The sequence below is a fragment of the Homo sapiens genome, chromosome 8 (assembly GCF_000001405.40).
Source record: "Homo sapiens chromosome 8, GRCh38.p14 Primary Assembly".
Lineage (NCBI taxonomy): Eukaryota > Metazoa > Chordata > Mammalia > Primates > Hominidae > Homo > Homo sapiens.
Genome location: NC_000008.11, coordinates 125,133,482 through 125,152,122, shown reverse-complemented (window position 1 = coordinate 125,152,122; position 18,641 = coordinate 125,133,482). Strand labels below are relative to the sequence as shown.

Genomic DNA, 18,641 nt, shown 5'->3' with positions numbered 1-18,641 from the left:
ACTCTAACTATATAATGCTCATTTCATTGGCTTAGGTATTAAACATGATTTAAAAATGTATCTTCTACTGAGTAATCACTGATCTTGTAAAATATTTGATTTTTGGAATTTTCCCATAGCTGTAAGTAAGAAAAGGCAAATAACGAAACCAGAAATACAAGACATCCTATTACACAGGTATACAAAATCAGTTCAACAGGGAGTTTCCACTGCTCAGAGGACAAAAGACTTCTCAGAAACATGACTGCAATCGTATTGCTCATTTCTTACTCAACACAGTACTACTGAAAAGGATGTTGCTATGTTCCCACCTTAACTGCCTTATGTGTTGTTCCTGTGACAGCTGGAGTCAACAAAGATAAGTTTGGCTTCTGGAAAAACCAAAATACCGATCTTCTTTATTTTTAAACTTGCTTAAAACTCTTCCATATTATCTGATTCTAAGAATTTGGCAATAGATGCATATTAAAGTTAGAGAATGAGTAACTAAACCTGGTCTCAATTGTATGTTTAAGCAAATAGAACAATAAAAACAAGGTGCATGCAATTTTTAGGATTTTATAAAAATCTCCTCACATTCAAAGGAGGCTTACACTAAAATTTTGAGACAAAAAATTGCAAGCAATCTAAAATAGATTTAATATGTTAATCAACCTAAGTGGCCTAGCCAGGAAAATACTTAGGATTCCAATTTTATGAGACTTCCAAATTTAGAGGAATTTAATAGCTGCTACATTAAGGATAAGGAAACATTAAAGATTAGAGAAGAATTTTGATTTTGTGTTTCTACTTCTCGGTCAGTGAGTTGTAACCAAATATATAACCAGGGAGTGGTATAAACTTACATGATTTATTGTAGATTGAACAGCCTTTACATAATGGTTTAGTTGCCGATCCAATGTAGCAAATTCAACCATTGCCTTGTCCATACTATATTCACTACTCACTTCAGCTGAAAGAAAAAAAAATTGCAATTATTATTTTCCATTTAAAATGCCATATCTGGAAAAAGTTGCATCAATACAATCTACATCAGTCAATGGTCTAAATAATTTTGTAGAGCTATTACATCTTTTTAAAAAAACCTCCTCAAAAAAATAAAAAATAAAAAAAATAAAAAAAACCTCCTCACCATATGATGCTTCATTCAAAATTCTAAGAATACACTCAGTAGAAGACAGCTCAAAGGCAGTGGTAGGTTGGAAAGAAGAAAAGACTTGTATTAAGGAGTTCCAGGCTGTGCCCTTACTTACATGATCTTAAATCAATCACTACACCTCTCCCAGCCTCAGTTCCCTCATCCATTAAGCAGCTCTGTCTTATATCTGTTGCATAAACTGTGAAGGATTGTTAAAGGTCAAATAGGGAAGATTCTCACTTTTAATAACACAGAGCTAGATTATTTGGACCAATCTTCCTAATGAAAACAATCAAAGATAGCAGCCGGGCGTGGTGACTAACGTCTGTAATCCTAGTACTTTGGGAGGCCGAGGCAGGCAGATCACTTGAGGTCAGGAGTTCAAGACCAGCCTGGCCAACATGGTGAAACCTAGTCTCTATTAAAATACAGAAATTAGCTGGAAATTGCTTGAACCCAGGACATGAAGGTTGCAGTGAGCTGAGATCATGCTATTGCACTCCAGCCTGGGCAACAGAGTGAGACTCCATCTCAAAAAAAAAAAAAAAAAAAAAAAAAGAAAGAAAGAAAAGAAAAAAAGAAAAAAGAAAACCAAAGATATCAGATACAGTAGAAAAAAAATAAATCTTAAAAACAAGAGTCACAAGGTAATAAGAAATAACCAGGGCAAAATCTAGAATAAAACAAAAACGAGAAGTGGGGCAACAGAATGCCAAAGTTACATACTATCCCACAGTAAGCTGAGATCCCAACTCTTTGTATAAAGATGAACCAAAAGTAATCTCTCCCTGCTGCCTGGGACCGAAGGGAGGTTAGCCTTGGCCATGAAGCAGAACAGGGAAAAGGGAAGAGAAAACAAACTTGTTTTCAGAAAAACTGGCCATAAGGCAGTCCTCCTGGATTTGCAGCAGCCTGGGTTCCCCTAACCTGAGTGATCCAGAGACCCTAGTCTCTGATCTTGGTGGGAGGTGGTCTCAGGCAGATAGTACTCACAGGTGTCTGGCAGAAGCAAATATAACTACTTTCTGGAGAAGGCACTCTTAATCTAAGTGTCAAATAATCCCTACAAATACTTTTTAAGAATGAGCAGATCACAGGAGAAAAGGCTGAAACAAAAATAAATATAAAAACAAACAAAAAAACCTTACATACCTATAATACACAAGAAAACAAGCCACTAAGAATAACAATCAGCAGAAACAGATCCACAAATATTTCAGTTATTGTAACTATTTATATTAGTCAGAATAAGAAACAACTATGTTTACTATGTTTAAAAAATTAAAATATCCTCAGGGAACAGGAGTCTATAAAAAGGGACTAGCAAATTAGAAAAGCAAGGTAATGTTGTTACAAGTGCTTTTAAACTGTTTCTTCAAGCTCTAACATAATTTAATAGATTAGGAAAAGATAGTTAACACAGGAACATAAAAATTTCAACTAAAAACTTTGAATTTAAGATAACTAAATGAAAAGAAAATAAAGCTTTCTTTCATCACATTTGGGAATGAACCTACTCAAAGACTCTCCATTCATATATCTTAGTGCAGACAAATGTCAGTTTTTCTTTTCTACTCTGAAGAATAATACCACAGATGATTCCAAAGTAATGAAATAATGTAAAGTCCATTCACATTTGGCTTTTAAAACATATGCTTTAATTTTATAATAGTTACTTATAAGTATATTTCATAGACTATCTCCTGGGTTAACATGCTTCTGGTAGAAGACCCTTCAGCTTTTACTATCCAGGCAGCAAAGAATACACAAATATCTCAATGTAAGTTAGGGGGTCAGGGGAGGGTGTAATGTTTACATAAGAAAAATTTGTATTTACATTCCCCAAATTAAATATATGTTTAACAAAATGGTGCGTGAGAAAAGGCTCAGGTCATACTCCAGGTAAAATTGTTAGACTATTAGAGTCACAGTTTGTTGTTGTGAAAATTTCTGAAAGTCAACAAAATGGACATATGGCTTGGTACCAACATATATATGTTGCTATATATACAGCAACCATTTGTTAAAAATCATATTGTTTCATGATAAAGAAGTGAATTTTAAACAACTTACATCCTAATGTAATGGATGTTTTGTAATTTATTTAGGCATTTTACTGTACTTAGTTACATTTCAGTAAATTGATTAGGGGTTTTAGTTAACCTGTAATTTATTTTTTTCCATTTAAAATAATGAAAAATAGACTATTGGTTTCACACCAGCCTTACCTAGTTAAAGGAAAGTATTGTTTTGTTTTGTTTTCCTTAATGGATCAGTATATTTTATGAGTATTAGATTCTGATACTGGAACTGGTCAAAAAAGTGGGTAAGGCTGGTAACCTGAACAAAGACTAACAGTATAAACTGCTTTTCCAAAATTCTGCTGATTAGGGGTACCCCAAAACCAAACAGGCACTCACTAAAGTATCTGTTGGGAGCAAAAGTCTGAAGCATAAGAAATGAAAGTCTGTAAGGGGCTTAAATCAGTGGAAATAGATATAATGTTAGCAATCTCCCTCTGGGATTAAATGAGTTAATTTCTGAAAGCATTCAGAATGTGCCTAAGATATTCAAAATGCTACAAAAGAGCTGCAAAACGAAATAAATGAGATGATAAGTTCTCATTAACAGGGTCCCATATATGCTACTAAGACCTGAGCCAGATAGTAAGCTGGTTCAAGGCCAAAGAGACCTTCCTGCAAAGGAGGAAATGGGCAAGGCTTGGGTCAGTTTTGATGGCATGAAGCTTAAGGAAAGAATCTCTGGAGCCTAACTGGCTTACAGGCAGCCTCAGTTCAGGCTCCAGGGCCCAAGAATGTTGGGACAAGCTGCTGAAGAACACTAGGAAAGACTGGTGCAGCCCAAGCAACAAAGGGAACAGGAAACACCAGAAGAGATCAGGAAGGAAATTCTAAAAAGAACTGAGGATCACAGCACACCTGGAAGCAGTGCCGTCAGATAACTGTAGTCAGAGGGTCTTGGTCAGCTGTAGCAGGGGGCTGAGAGACCAGAGACCTACGATGAGAACTAGAAGGGACTCCCACAAGAGCATCTTAAAGACAGGTCATGAGAACGTCCATGTCAAGTAGCAACCTGCCACAGCAATTTTAAGAGGATTTTCGTAATTCTTTTTTGTTCTTCTTGTTAACCTTTATTTCCCGACTGCAGTAAAAACCTCTTGACTTTGGAGGGGGAAAAAGGGATAAACACAGAAACACAGAGTTACTGACTAAAAAGTTGCTGGGGGTTGGGGTGGTTGTGGAGGTACTGATCAGGCAGAGGCTCCCTGCTACTTGATTCCACAGTATATCTTCCCACCATCAAAATTCTCCCACTCTTTCACTGAAAGCCCTTTTTGAGAATATATACCAAATTAAATCCTACATATCCATCAAGGGCTGAGCTCAGGCCCTACCTGCTTTTAAATTATACCAGCCTAGAAGGATTTCCTTCTTCACCTAATTTGCCTTAACACATACACTCTTGATATCTTGGGACCACCACCAATCTTTCCTTTCTTATCTGCATTTGTTTCCTTTCACCAAAGAGATTTTAATCCATTTGAGGACAAGAATGATGCCTTAGTGTTCTTAGGATCCAACAAAGAATTATAGCAACTCTTCCTTCAATATTCTTCTAAGGCCATTATATTTCATAAATCTGAAAATTAAACTTTCACTAAAATATAAATTGTCCTATCAAAGAGATTCAACTGAATTAGAACATAAAAGAGGACATATGATATAACTTCACTTGCCTATTTTATATTTTCAGTGTGACTTTTCTATAGGAAAAGAGATGGCACCAGCACTGGAGTGGTGGGTAGAAATCACACAACGATGTTCAAATTCACAGAATGATGACTCCAGAGAGAAAAGCATTGCTGTACAACACTTCTGCAAGTCTGGCATTAGGGAAGTTCAGTGCAGATGATAAAACATGGAAAGTAATGACAATGATTATATATGTATATATAATAGCTGTAGCTAACAATTAGGGAACACTGTTATGTGCCAGCACATCAAACTTACATCAAATCTCAGGGCAACATAAGAGTTAGGTAGTTTGTTTTTTTTTGTTTTGTTTTTTTTATACTTTAAGTTTTAGGGTACATGTGCACAACATGCAGGTCTGTTACATATGTATACATGTGCCATGTTGGTGTGCTGCACCCATTAACTCGTCATTTAACATTAGGTATATCTCCTAAGGCTATCCTTCCCCACTCTCCCCACCTCACAACAGGCCCCAGTGTGTGACGTTCCCCTTCCTGTGACCATGTGTTCTCATTGTTCAATTCCCACCTATGAGTGAGAACATGCGGTGTTTGGTTTTCTGTCCTTGCGATAGTTTGCTGAGAATGATGGTTTCCAGCTTCATCCATGTCCCTACAAAGGACATGAACTCATCATTTTTTATGGCTGCATAGTATTCCATGGTGTATATGTGCCACATTTTCTTAATCCAGTCTATCATTGTTGGACATTTGGGTTGGTTCCAAGTCTTTGCTACTGTGAATAGTGCCGCAATAAACATATGTGTGCATGTTATACCCAAAGGATTATAAATCATGCTGCTATAAAGAGTTAGGTAGTTCTATTTCCATTTTACATATGAGAAAACTGAAGTAACTTGCTCAAGGCCACAAAGGTAGTTAGCAGCAGCGCCAGGCCTCCCACTCTGGCTTTCTAACTGCCAAGTCTGTACACTTGCCCACCTGTGCAAAAAGGTATTTAAACACAAGGAGGACAAGCACCTCCGACTCCTCCATGAATATCCAGGGAACAAACCTTCAGGTAGGAGAAAGTCAAAGACCCAGAGCCTCAGCTCAGCTCCGTTGGCAATCTGTTAGCATAAAACAACACTTCCAAGGAGGACACTAGACAATGCCACTCAGAGGCTATCAGACATGGTTCTGGAAAGCTCTTTCCAAATTCCTTAAGAAATCTGATAACAAAAAGAAAATTATTTTTCCCCTTTTTGAAGATTAATAAGTTTTAATATTGGTGAAAAGTGACCTTTCACATCAGCAAAGCTAATCTGAAGTGCTGTAAGAGCAACCAAGTCACTCAGAGAATGCTAGGAGAATAACTAAGTCAACTCCAGCTGCTAAGAGGTCAAGCTTGTACTAGGCCAAGAGCACCGGCAGCAACAGAGATGAAAGCAGCTCCAGACTGACTACCAGGCAGCAAATGAAGAGCAGCAGGAGAGAAATGTTCAAGGTGAAGGGAGAATACTGGAAGGCTTCATGTTGCAGAATTACTTCTGAATAGAGCTCAAAGTCAAAAGTCACTTTTATTAGCCACACATTTGACTCCCCCGACCCCCAGCCCTGCCAAGCGAAGTCTGGGAGGCTAGGAATATTCAAATTCCTTCACTAAGCCATTCTGTGAGCGTTTATTTATTACAGCCAGCCCTTGCTTTCGTTAATCAAATGAACCTAAGTGATATATTTGAACATTCATTTACAAGCCAATAAATACATGGAGAAGTATCACAGTGGGGCCTTGGTGACTCTGTGAGACCTGTCACCTGATACGTCAATTAAGAAACTGTTGCAAGAAGTTAGTACAATAACTAGCTATCCCCCCCGCACTGCCACCCCACAAAATCAAGTCCAAAGGGCACAGATAATCCCTGATTTACATTATAAAATTCTAGCTGTTTCTGTAAGTATGCCAGTGCCAGGGCTGTCATCCTATAAACCTGCATGTCTGTACCCAATGACCCCAGTCACAAGCACAATGCCAAACCATTGTGGACTGAAGTGTTATTCAAACCAGGAAGGGCTACTGAATTAAATCCATCCTTTAAAGATGGTTTCTATTTCATTTTGCTTTTTCCTACTGAGTGGCAAACCCTGGAAAAACAAAGAATGATTATCACTGAAGGAGGGGGTTTCTTTTTAGAGTGAAGTGCTCTAATATTTACATAATACAAAAAGTCTCTAAATGGGTGAAGTTGGCCTGCGTATGATTTTCCTAAAGTCAAACAAACCTATAATTATGCAATCTAAGCAGTCACACTATTCATTAGACATGTCATCTGTTACTCAGTGTCAAAACCCACTAACAGCAATATTATAACTACATTACTATTCTCTCTTTTTGAGGTATTGAATAGGCATTAAAGTTATATGATCAACAGAACATTAAACAGAAATGGGTGATTTTGTGTTATAATCAAATTCAACTTAAAATTCATGAGACTTCAATGAATAGAAGATGATGAATGAGGCACAAACAAGTATGAAAGAATGAAAGCAAGGCTGGTTGTCTCAAATGTGAAAGGCTAGGGGCAAAATGAAGGAGAAAGGATCGTCTAAGAAAGGAAAGGAAGGGAGGGAACAAACTAGCTATTTTTATAGATGTAGACTCTCAAGCAAGACCAATTCCAGGTCCTTTGTGACTAAGAGATGTAGGCAGTAAGCCTGTAGCAATACGGTCCTTATGTAGCACAGCATGGACTCATGAGCTTATCCGGCGCCAGTTCCAGCATTGTCTAAGGTCTGTTCATACCGTATTTGTTCAGTATAATGCCATTTTCTAGGCTACAGGTTAAAAAGCAACAGCAGATAGGAGAGCAGAAGATTCTTTCTATTGGCTTTCCCAAATCCAGGTGGGCATGGCTAACAGACCAATCAAACTTTCATTCCAGAGCAGCAACCAGTTCTGCAAGAAAGGGACAGAAGTGATGTGCTTTTTGACCAACTATTCTAAATAGGGACCTTCCCTAACCACAGCTGCCCTATAGCTGTAGCCTAAGGCATGCACTGGAGAGAATCCCTGAGGCCCAGGCCTGAGGCTTGGGAAGCAGAGATGAAACAGGTCCGGTAGTACATGGTACCCAGAGCCAAATAAGATCCCTCAACAACCCCAGGTCTTCAGTAGAACTGCCTTTAATGAATCAGACATGAAAATAAGGACTTTCCCCCCCTCTTTTCCCTATCACGTCCACACACATTTATCTCTATACTACTTCATTACACTACCAGATATCATTTTGCTTTGCTCTCTGTTTCCTATGATCTCAGCCACAAGGTCCTTTTCCAGAATCCTCCCTAATCTCCAGAAAAGAACCAAACACTTCATACCTTATGGGTCTACAAAACTTCTTTACCTTTACAACTGGGACACGTGGATGTGTGTCTGTGTGTGTATGTGTGTGTTAGGGAGGCACACCCTCAAGACAAATTTCACCTACTTATTCCTTCCAACTTTATGTCTCTGATTCAACTGTATAGTTTTGCCCACGGCCAAGCTGTTTCCTGAAATTTGGTCCTAAACAAATAAAAATCGCAGAATCAGATGTTTTTTATTCTACAAAGCCATGTACAGGCATGTCTGAACAGGAACACCACCAATTATATATAGTGGATTAAATTCAACTCCACGCATTTTATTAGTAAAATACCAGGCTAAGACAAAGTAGACATTTAGTGTTCTTAAGGGGTTGCTGACTCCAATTCAACATGACTCATATACTCAGAAGACTCTGATAAATATTAAATGTCATAAAGTACATATGTCCATTTTGGCAAGGAGGAAGGAAGAAAAGGCGGCAAGGGATTGCCTGATTGTATTTTAAATTTCTTAGAATAAATGGGACGTATATTGGGAGATTTTACTTTCTGAAACAGAATATGGGTATTTCCTAATCTCTTCAAATTAAAACTTGATTTTTCTATATTTTGTAAAGAAGACATCTATTCTTTTTGGATAAAATAAAACAAATCACAGTATCAAGCATACCTCTGACCCCACCCACCAAAATGCAACACACAAAACAAAAAAAACCCTTCTTCTCTGAAACTATAGCTCCAACTATCTCTAGCAACACACATCTATACATGCACCTACCTCTGTGTGTGTGTGTGTGTGTGTGTGCGTGCACCCACACTGGGGGTGTCCTGGGAGCCTAATGTTAAGTAATCACATATTTATCAGGAGTTGAATTTAATGACTTACTCACTCCTTGAGCAATATTTAATAGAAACTTGGTTACTTCTCCCTACACTGCACTTTGAACTTGTAATTATTCCTCCACATAGATATTAGTGTGGCAAAATTAAAACTGAATACATGGCTGGGTGTGGTGGCCCATGCCTGTAATCCCAGCACTTTGGGAGGCTGAGGCGGGTGGATCACCTGAGGTCAGGAGTTCGAGACCAGCCTGACCAACATGGAGAAACCGTCTCTACTAAAAATACAAAATTAGCCAGGCATGGTGGTGCATGCCTGTAATTCCAGCTACTCGGGAGCCTGGGGCAGGAGAATCTCTTGAACCTGGGAGGTGGAGGTTGTGGTGAGCCAAGATAGCACCACTGTCCTCCAGCATGGGCAACAAGGGCAAAACTCCATCTCAAAAAAAAAAAACTGAATACACATTTTATAACTGCCGCCCACTAGAAATCATAGTGAAGAGTGTCAGCAGTACATGATACAAGCTAGTAAGTGTCAGGGGTTCTTTACAAACACAGTGAATATGGGAGAAATCCTCAAGAAGTAGTCACCTTTATAGTCATGTTTAGTTTACCCGCCAACACAATTCCCTCATCATCGTGACACAGAAGAGAGACGATGTAATACAGTAATCAAAAAAGCTAGCTCTGGAATTAGACTTCATTCAAATCTAGGCTTTATGAAATTACATGCTAGCTATGTAGTTTTTGGTAAGTCATTTTACTAGAGTCTCAATTTCCTTTTATATATAATGGGTACAATAACAGTAACTACTTCAGAAAGCTGATATGAGGACTAAATGAGATAATGTAGGTAAAATGATCTGCACAGGGCCTGGCTCACAGTAAGCACTAACAAAATATTTGTCATTATCATTATTACAGAATAGATAACTATTCTGCAAGTGTAATTAGTCTAAATACTGAAAGCACTTTGCCTTTGGAACCAAAAGGTAGCAAGTGAAAATCATCTTCCTAGCTCTCTTAGCTCTCTAGGTTGTTTTTTACTAACTTCTAAAGCGTGAAACTGAACTCACAAGACTGCAATAATGCTCCATAAGAAGCACTGTAAACACCATACCCCTCCCCCAAGTTCAGAAACTCATTTGCCCGGCAAATGCTTATTGAGCACTCACCACATGTTAGGCAGAGGGGAAAAATGTTTCAAAGCAAGAAGAACGGGCAGCTAACACTGCCTATAGAAAGAACAGGTTTAGCTGGTGAGGGCAAACTTGAACTGTGTCTTGAAGGATGAGTAAGTGTTCATCAGATGTTCACCGGACTGGGGTAGAGGCTAAACAAATGCCTCACTCCTCTCCACAGAGACTACATTAGAGTTAAAATGGTCAAACAAAAACACTTGGGAATGAAGAGAGGAGAAGGACATAGATTTTTAAAACAGAACAAATCTTCACGGAGCACTGAGTCTGTGCCAGGCACCCTGCACCTATTACCTTATCCAGTTCTTTGTTACAACAACATGAATTCAGTGTTATTAAACATATTGTAGAGATAAGGAAACAGATGCTCACAGACACTAAATCATTTGCCCCAGATGACATAGTTAATAAATGATGGAGTTATGACTGACCTCAAGACTGACAAAGTCAGCATGGAAGGCACATGCCAGTGTCTGGACTATTACACAGAAATCAATAATATACCCTTCATGCAAAAGTCAGGGAGTAATGAATAATCTGTTCTGTACTAAAGGAATTCTCCTAAACATTACCTTCTTTTAGGAGAGAAAATGAAAGAGAGACTGATTGACTTAAATAAATTGCTCTACCTCAGAGTGATGGAGACCACGACATCTTTGATTATATAGACAGATATATCCTTAGAATGTATGTTAATATCTATAAATGACTGTGATAGTGGTATAATTCAAAATACTGTTTGAAATAAAGTATATGAATTCAATTAATAAAAATCATAGAAATCAATCTTTGCCAGCCATCAAAAACACTATGGAAACTCAGGCTATGGGAATCTGTCATTTTAAAGCATATCCGCAGACCCCCTTTGGCTACCTAAAGCCTCCAAATCTTCACGGCCAGGTGTCTTTCATTTGACTTATCTTTTTTCCACATCTTTCTTGTCCAATTCTATCTAATCTCTGGTAGACTGAAAAGAAACTGTGAATTTAAGGCCACAAGAGCATTTCCCAGGCAACATATTTTCAACAACTGCCACTTCTCTCTGGTCTTCAAGTCTTTGGCTGTGCTCAAGTCTTACCTACAGTTGCATGACTTGGAAACCCAAGAGGCTTAAGAAACAGAGTCTGGCTTTGACCAAATACCAAAGCTCTTGCATGAATTTGTGGCAGCCAAGACAAAAGAAAGTGAGGCTTAAATCTCATATGTTTTTTTTTTTGAGATGGAGTCTCACTCCATCACCCAGGCTGGAGTGCAGTGGCATGATCTCGGCTCACTGCAACCTCTTCATGCGATTGAACCTCAGCCTCCTGAGTAGCTGGGATTACAGGCACCCACTACCACGCCCAGCTAATTTTTGTATTTTCAGTAGAGATGGGGTTTCACCATGTTGGCCAGGCTGGTCTCAAACTCCTGACCTCAAGTAATTCTCCCGCCTTGGCCTCCCAAAGTGCTGGGATTACAGGCGTGAGCCACTGTGCCTGGCCTTTATATGATTATTGAAAAAATTAAATGAGAATGTAGGTAAAGCACTCAACATAAGGCCTCCAACACAGGAGACTCTTAACAAATGGGGGTATTTTGCTGTATTAACTGTACTTTGCAATATTCCCAATACAAATCTTCTTCTTCACTTAAGCTAGTATCTACTGAATCATGGGGTTTCCCCAACTACTTAAAAAATGTTTTTAAAATTAATAAAGCATATGACTAAAAAAGTAATCAAGCATACGGTTGAAAAATTCTAACAGTACAATCATGTGGTATCTCCAATTCCCAAATGCTCTCCTTAGAGGCAACCATTGCTGTGAGGTTCTTGGGACAGTAATCCCATGCAAATATTCCATGTGTAAGGCATCCCTTTTAAAAAGGACTACAGAAATTCAAATACTTATAGAAACAGCAGAAATAAATTAAAAACATCTACACCTGAGGAGAAACTACTCCCAGGAAGTTTCACGATGAAAATTGTATCTCTGTGCTCTACTTTTCAGTAAGTGTAGGTGAACAGAAGGAAAAGTGAATGTCTGGTTCAGTTTAATGACAAAATTTCCACTATAAAATGACAACATAAGGGCAAACAAATATATGTGGGAAGATGATATAGTTTGGCTGTGTCCTCACCCAAATCTCATCTTGAATTTTAGCTCCCACAATTCCCATGTATCATGTGAAAGACCCAGTGGGAGGTAATTGAATCCTGGGGGCAGGTCTTTCCTGTGCTGTTCTTGTGATAGTGAATAAATCTCATGAGATCTGATGATTTTATAAAGGAGAGTTGCCCTGCACAGGTTCTCTTACCTGACACCATGCAAGACATGACTCTGCTACTCCTTTGCCTTCTGCCATGATTGTGAGGCCTCCCCAGCCATGTGGAACTGTGAGTCAATTAAACCTCTTTCCTTTATAAATTACCAGTCTCCGGTATGTCTTTATTAGCAGTGTGAGAACAGACTAATACAGAAGACAACACATACTATATTAAAAACAAAAAAAGAGTGATGCTAAACAAAGATTAGAATATGAGTGTTAGTGGAGGAACTTCCATTCACTCATTCAACAAATATTTACTGAGCAGACCATGTGCCTAGCACTGTACAGGGTACCCTGGACACAGTGGTGAATAAGGCAAACACTGTATCTTCTCTCAAAGAGCTTTTACAAACTTCTACTCCATGTAAAATTTCCTAAAAAGCCCTGATATAACTATCTGGAATTTGTTTGGCTCTTAGTGTGATGGCAAAGCTTGTTCCACCGCTGAACAGTTCCATTTATTAGAGTCCTTCCAAAGACAGAGCTGATTCAGCGCCTCCCTAGAACACTGCCAGGCAATGACAACAATAAATCCAAATTGCTCATTCACACACATTAACTTATTTACACCACATAACTTCTGCATAGAGTAATTTTACTTTCTGCTTCATATGGTTGAGGAAATTGAGGCTCAGAGAGGTTAACTACTTCCACCTCAATATCAGAAGCAGGCTGTAAATTCTGGTCCTCTACTCCAGAGCTACAGAAAAGCTACCTCCTGGGTCAAACAGAAAGTCTCAAGTCTCTTCCAGATTCCAGTGCTTCAAAGATCTGAAGGTAGCCACTAAATATCTCCTACCCTGCGAATCTTTGCTTCCCAGGATAAATAACAATCATCAAATTCCTTTGACCGAGTTGACCTGCCTTACTTAAACATGCTTCATTTGTCACTTTAAAGATGAACTTCAGAATAAAAAGCAATAATTACAGCCATAAGTTAAACAACGAAGACTATGATAATACTACTATTACATTTGTACTACCTGATCACACACTGGTCTTGTCAATTAAAAAAACAACAAAAAAACCAGCCAGGCACAGTGGCTCACATCTGTAATCCCAGCACTTTGAGAAGCCAAGGCAGGAGGATCACTTCAGGCCAGAAGTTCGAGACCAGCCTGGGCAACAAAGCATGACCCCACCTCTACTAAAAATAAAAAAATCAGCCAGGCACAGTAGCATGCACCTGTAAAGTCCCAGCTACTCAGGAGACCGAGGTGGGAGGATCACTTGAAACCAGGAATTCAAGGCTGCAGTCAGCTATGATCATACCACTGCACTCCATCCTGAGTGACAGAGATTGACCAGGTCTCTAAAAGAGAAAATAAATTTAAAAAGAAAAAACTCAACAAAAAGTACTATTAAGCCAGATCTCTCCCTTCCTATATTAGTACTGCTGACTTTTACAATCTAAAATGCAAAACTTAAGACTATCAGATTTCATGAATTTGAAACCTGACATTTTATTTCATTCAGGAGGTAAAAAGAAAGTCTTTCTGAATTTCAATCTTATCTAATTCATCAGCTAGTCTCCCTGATTTTCTGTGACACATAAATTTGACATAAATTTTCTTGGTTTTCTATCAGGAAGTTAAATAAACAGCAAACATCTATTGAGCACATACTATGTGCCAGACATTATGCTAAGCAATTTACATGCATCATCTCATTTAATCCTTACTACAACAGCTCTGTGAAGAAGACATTATCATTATTACCATCTTATGAAAGAAAATACAGGCTCAGAGAGGTTAAGTACCTTGAACTAAAGTCATATAGTAATAAGCTGCAGAAGCAGGACTTAAATCAGGACCTATTAAATAACAGAGTCCATTCGCCTAACTACCTCAATAATCACCACCCTTTGGGCATAAACATTTCTATGTCATAAGACTTTGTCAAATTCGCTCTTAAGATTTATGCATGTTAGATCAGAAAACATGCCTACTGTGCCAGAGAAACCACACCAGTAAAAAAAGGAGCAGGAGAGAATTAGGGGGATCAAGAACAAAAATATCAAGTAAGTTCATAAATGAGATAGCCACTCAAAAAAGGTTAATTACCTTTAGCTTGCATGTGGATAGCAACTGCCTTAGATTAGCATATCTCTACACTTATTTTAAACACATTTATACCAAGAAAAAGATACGAATAGGGTCAGCCTCCTTTAAAACAGAAAGTTAATGAAGGAACAGTTTAATTAAACAAATCAGCCCTATAAGCATTAAGATTCCAAGATATCTGACAAGAAGTTGATTAGATTATAAGATCCATGATGACAGGCTGTAATCTCTGTTATTTACCTAACTCTCAAATGTCCATCTAAATAAGAAGTAGTTTGTGGGGAGAAACATTTCTTTCAGGAAAGAGTAGAAGTGTCACGATCACAAAAGGAGGGAACAACTTCATTTCATATTCCTATCTGTCGGAGAATAATTTCTATGATTATTGTTGGAAAGTAAAAAAAAAATTTTGATTTCATGAAAATAATAGCAAATCAATCCTTTAAAATTTAAATCACTGACACCACCAAAAAATAAGTTATCATAATTAACTACAAATATCATTATACTTATCCCATTCAATTTGCATTTCTCCTTATATTTACACCTCCACACACTGCAAGTTTCTGAAAAGATGTCTCACATTTTAGAAGGTAATTTTTATTTTTTCCTTACTTATATTGACATTTTAAAGATGTTTTATTTTCAATTTAATTGACTGAAATCATCAGTGACTTCCAAGATTGTTTTTCCATCTTTAAAAGCTTCCTATTGAAAAATAGTAATAATTCATAAACACCTAAACCTACCAGAAGCCTCAAAAAAACTCTTTGTTGAGTGAAGTAAACTACTTCTATAATGGGAATAAGCACCCACTAGTGTATCTGTGTTTGGATGACAATTATAATGAACTGCAAACTAAGAAATAAAGAACTATTAATATTCACTGAGTAACTGGTTCTGAACTCCAGGGTATCAATTATAACACCACAGTACTATTTATAAAATGGGAGGTTCTAATCAATCACATCCCACATGCAGGCACCTAGTCTCTGCAACCAAACAGAACCAAACTATATGCAAGACCTAAAACATAAAGTCATCTTAGACTCCTCACTCTTACTGTCCACATCTAACTAGTCACAAATGTCTATCTATTCTGCCTGCTAAAGTCAGCTAGTATTTCCTTTCCAACTATAGCTGCCTTAATTTCAATCTTTGTTTCTTCCTCAGATTATTGATTTGTTTCCTTCGTCATTTCCTTTTCCAATCTCTTTTCTTTTCCCTCTAATAGTTCTTCCATGATGTTGCCAATTCTCTTTCTCAAGTACAAGTCTGGTGTTACTCTCCTGTTTATCAAAAACCTGCCATAATACTTCCACTGGCCATTAACAGGGGCTAGATTTGTCTGCTGTCTCAAACAACCAAAAAAATAAAAATTAAAAAATGTTTTAAAAAAGGTTTATAAGATACTGGACATCATCATGCAAGGAGGAAAGAACAAGAGTGACTAGAAGCATACAAGGTAAGCCATATAAATGCCCACCTTAGTATCCTGAGAGAGCCTCCAGGCTGCAAGGCATGCAATATCAATCAAAACCTTGGCCGACTTCTCTGTAGAAATTGACAAGCCAAGTCTAAAATTCACATGGAAATGCAAAGGACCTAGAATAGCCAAAACAACCTTGAAAAAGACAACAATGGAGGACTAACACTAGCTTATTTCAAGATTTATCATAAAGCATCAGTAATCAAGATAGTGTGCTATTGGCATGAAGATGGAAAAAGAGATCAACAGCATTGAATTGTGTCCAGAAATGGATATATACCTACATGGACAACTAAACAGACAAAAGTGCAAAGGCAATTCAGCTGAGAAAAAACAGTCTTCAGCAACAAATGGTGCTAGGACAATTGGCTATCCACATGCAAAGAAAAAAAAAAGAAGGAAAATACTGAACTTTGATCTATACCTCGTACCTTATTCCATATACAAAACTTCAGTCAGAAAGAATCACAGACTTAAATACAAAACCTAAAACTACAAAATTTCTAGAAAAATACAGAAGAAAATCTTTGGGAACTTGGGTTAGATAAAGATTTCTTAGATACAAGAGCAAAGCACAATCCACAAGAGAAAAAATTGGTAAACTGGATGTCACAGAAATTAAAAACTTCTGTTCTTCAAAAGAATCTGTTTGAGCCAAGCACAGAGGCTCGAGCTTGTAATTCCAGCTACTTGAGAAGTTGAGGTGGGAGGATCACCTAAGGCCAGGAATTTGAGACCAACCTGGGCAATATAGAGAGAGCTTGTCCCCCAAAAAATCTTTTTTAGGCCAGGCACAGCAGGTTACAACTGTAATCCTGGCACTTTGGGAGACCAAGGCAGGTGGATCACTTGAGCTCAGAAGTTTGAGACCAGCCTGGACAACATAGTGAAACCCCATCTCTACCATAAATACAAAAAATTAGCCAGACATGGAGGTTGGCATTTGTGGCATCTGTGGTCCCAGCTACTCAGGAGGCTGAGGTGGGAGGGTTGCTTGAGCCTGGGAGGTGAACTTTGCAATAAGCCAATATTGAGCCACTGCACTCCAGCCTGAGTGACAGAGTGAGATTCCATCTCAAAAACAAAACAAAACAAAATTTATTTTTCATTAGCTGGGTATGGTGGCATACGCCTATAGTCCCAACTACTCAGGAAGCTGAGACAGGAAGATCACTGGAGGCCAGGAGGTAGAGGCTGCAGTGAGCTATGATCATGCCACTGTACTCCAGCCTGAGCAACAGAGCAAGACCCCGACTCTTAAAAAAAAAAAAAAAAAAAAAGGAATCCGTTAAAAACAAAGAGGCTGGAAGGAAATACTCACAAATCATATATCTGATAAAGAATTTTTATTCCGAGTATACAAAGAACCCTCAAAATGCAATGATTAAAAAACTGGTCCAATAACAAATGGCAACACAAGATTTGAAGATACTTCACCAAAGAGGTAAATGCCAAATAAGCACATTAAAAGGTACTCAATTTTAATGATCATTAGAAAAATCAAATTAAAACCACTATAAGATACCATTGCATATCTATTAGAATGGCTAAAAGTAAGAAGACTGCCTGTAGCAAGTGTTGACAAGGATGGGGAGCGACTATAGAGTTCCCTTAATATACTCCACACATAGATCCCATATTTTCAGACTTGCCATAATACTTCCACTTCTAATAGTAACTCTATTACTAAAAAAGTACATTTAACTATATAATTTAAACCACATTTAATATAATGAAATCTCATCATAATGACTCAGAAGTCTTCATAACATAATGTCTGGGTGTCCTCGTTACAGTTTTTCTGTTAAGTATGAAAACATTCATCAATACAGATTTTTTACATAACAAATATGAAAGAAACCAGCTTTTAATGTATAATCCCCTCACCAGAATATGATTGCTTTGTACTATAATTTGCTTTCTCTAATCTAGTCATTCTCAAAGTGTGGTTGGGCTGGACTAACAGCACCATCACCATCAACTGGGAACTTGTTAGAAATGCAAATTCTCGAGTCCTGCCCCAGAGGCCTGAATCTGAAGCCTTGGGGGTTGGAGCCCAGCAATCTGCAGTTTAACAAGTCCTCCAAGTGATTCTGATTAGTGATAAAATTTGAGATCCACGGTTCTAATGTATGATACAAAGTTAAAAATCATAAACGGCGTTTTCTCTGAGACTCTTTCTGATTTCACAGAATTTCTTTTTTCTTTTTCTTTTTTTTTGTTTTGGTTTTTGTTTTTTGAGATGGAGTCTTGCTCTGTTGCTTTGTTTTTTTGAGATGGAGTCTCGCTCTGTTGCCCAGTCGTGATCTCGGCTCACTGCAACCTCTGCCTCCCAGGTTCAAGCAATTCTCCTGCCTTAGCCTCCAGAGTAGCTGGGGGGATTACAGGTGCGAGCCACCATGCCTCACTAATTTTGTGTATTTTTAGTAGAGATGGGGTTTCACCATGTTGGCCAGGCTGATCTCGAACTCCTGAGCTCAAGTGAATCACCTGCCTTGGCCTCCCAAAGTGTCAGGATTGC

The 18,641-nt window shown here is 38.1% G+C and overlaps 1 protein-coding gene across 16 annotated transcripts in view, besides 2 other annotated features; it reads right to left on the bottom strand.

Moving 5' to 3' along the window:
• NSMCE2 (NSE2 SUMO ligase component of SMC5/6 complex) overlaps nt 1-18,641 on the bottom strand; it is a 275,261-nt gene that overhangs the window by 214,998 nt on the left and 41,622 nt on the right. For all 16 annotated transcript variants that reach the window (NR_146191.2, NR_146192.2, XM_017013331.2 and 13 more), the window contains one exon: nt 846-952. Coding sequence is in view for 14 of the 16 variants with exons in the window: in XM_017013331.2 (XP_016868820.1) it covers nt 846-952 (107 nt within the window). In the remaining 2 variants the exon portion in view is untranslated. The remainder of the gene's footprint in view (nt 1-845; nt 953-18,641) is intronic.
• Nucleotides 86-305: an enhancer, noted in NCBI's record as "active region_27901". NCBI's record gives its function as "activates an Ori minimal core promoter by ATAC-STARR-seq in GM12878 lymphoblastoid cells {active_cell/tissue: GM12878}" and the evidence as "EXISTENCE:reporter gene assay evidence [ECO:0000049][PMID:35858748]".
• Nucleotides 356-405: an enhancer, noted in NCBI's record as "active region_27900". NCBI's record gives its function as "activates an Ori minimal core promoter by ATAC-STARR-seq in GM12878 lymphoblastoid cells {active_cell/tissue: GM12878}" and the evidence as "EXISTENCE:reporter gene assay evidence [ECO:0000049][PMID:35858748]".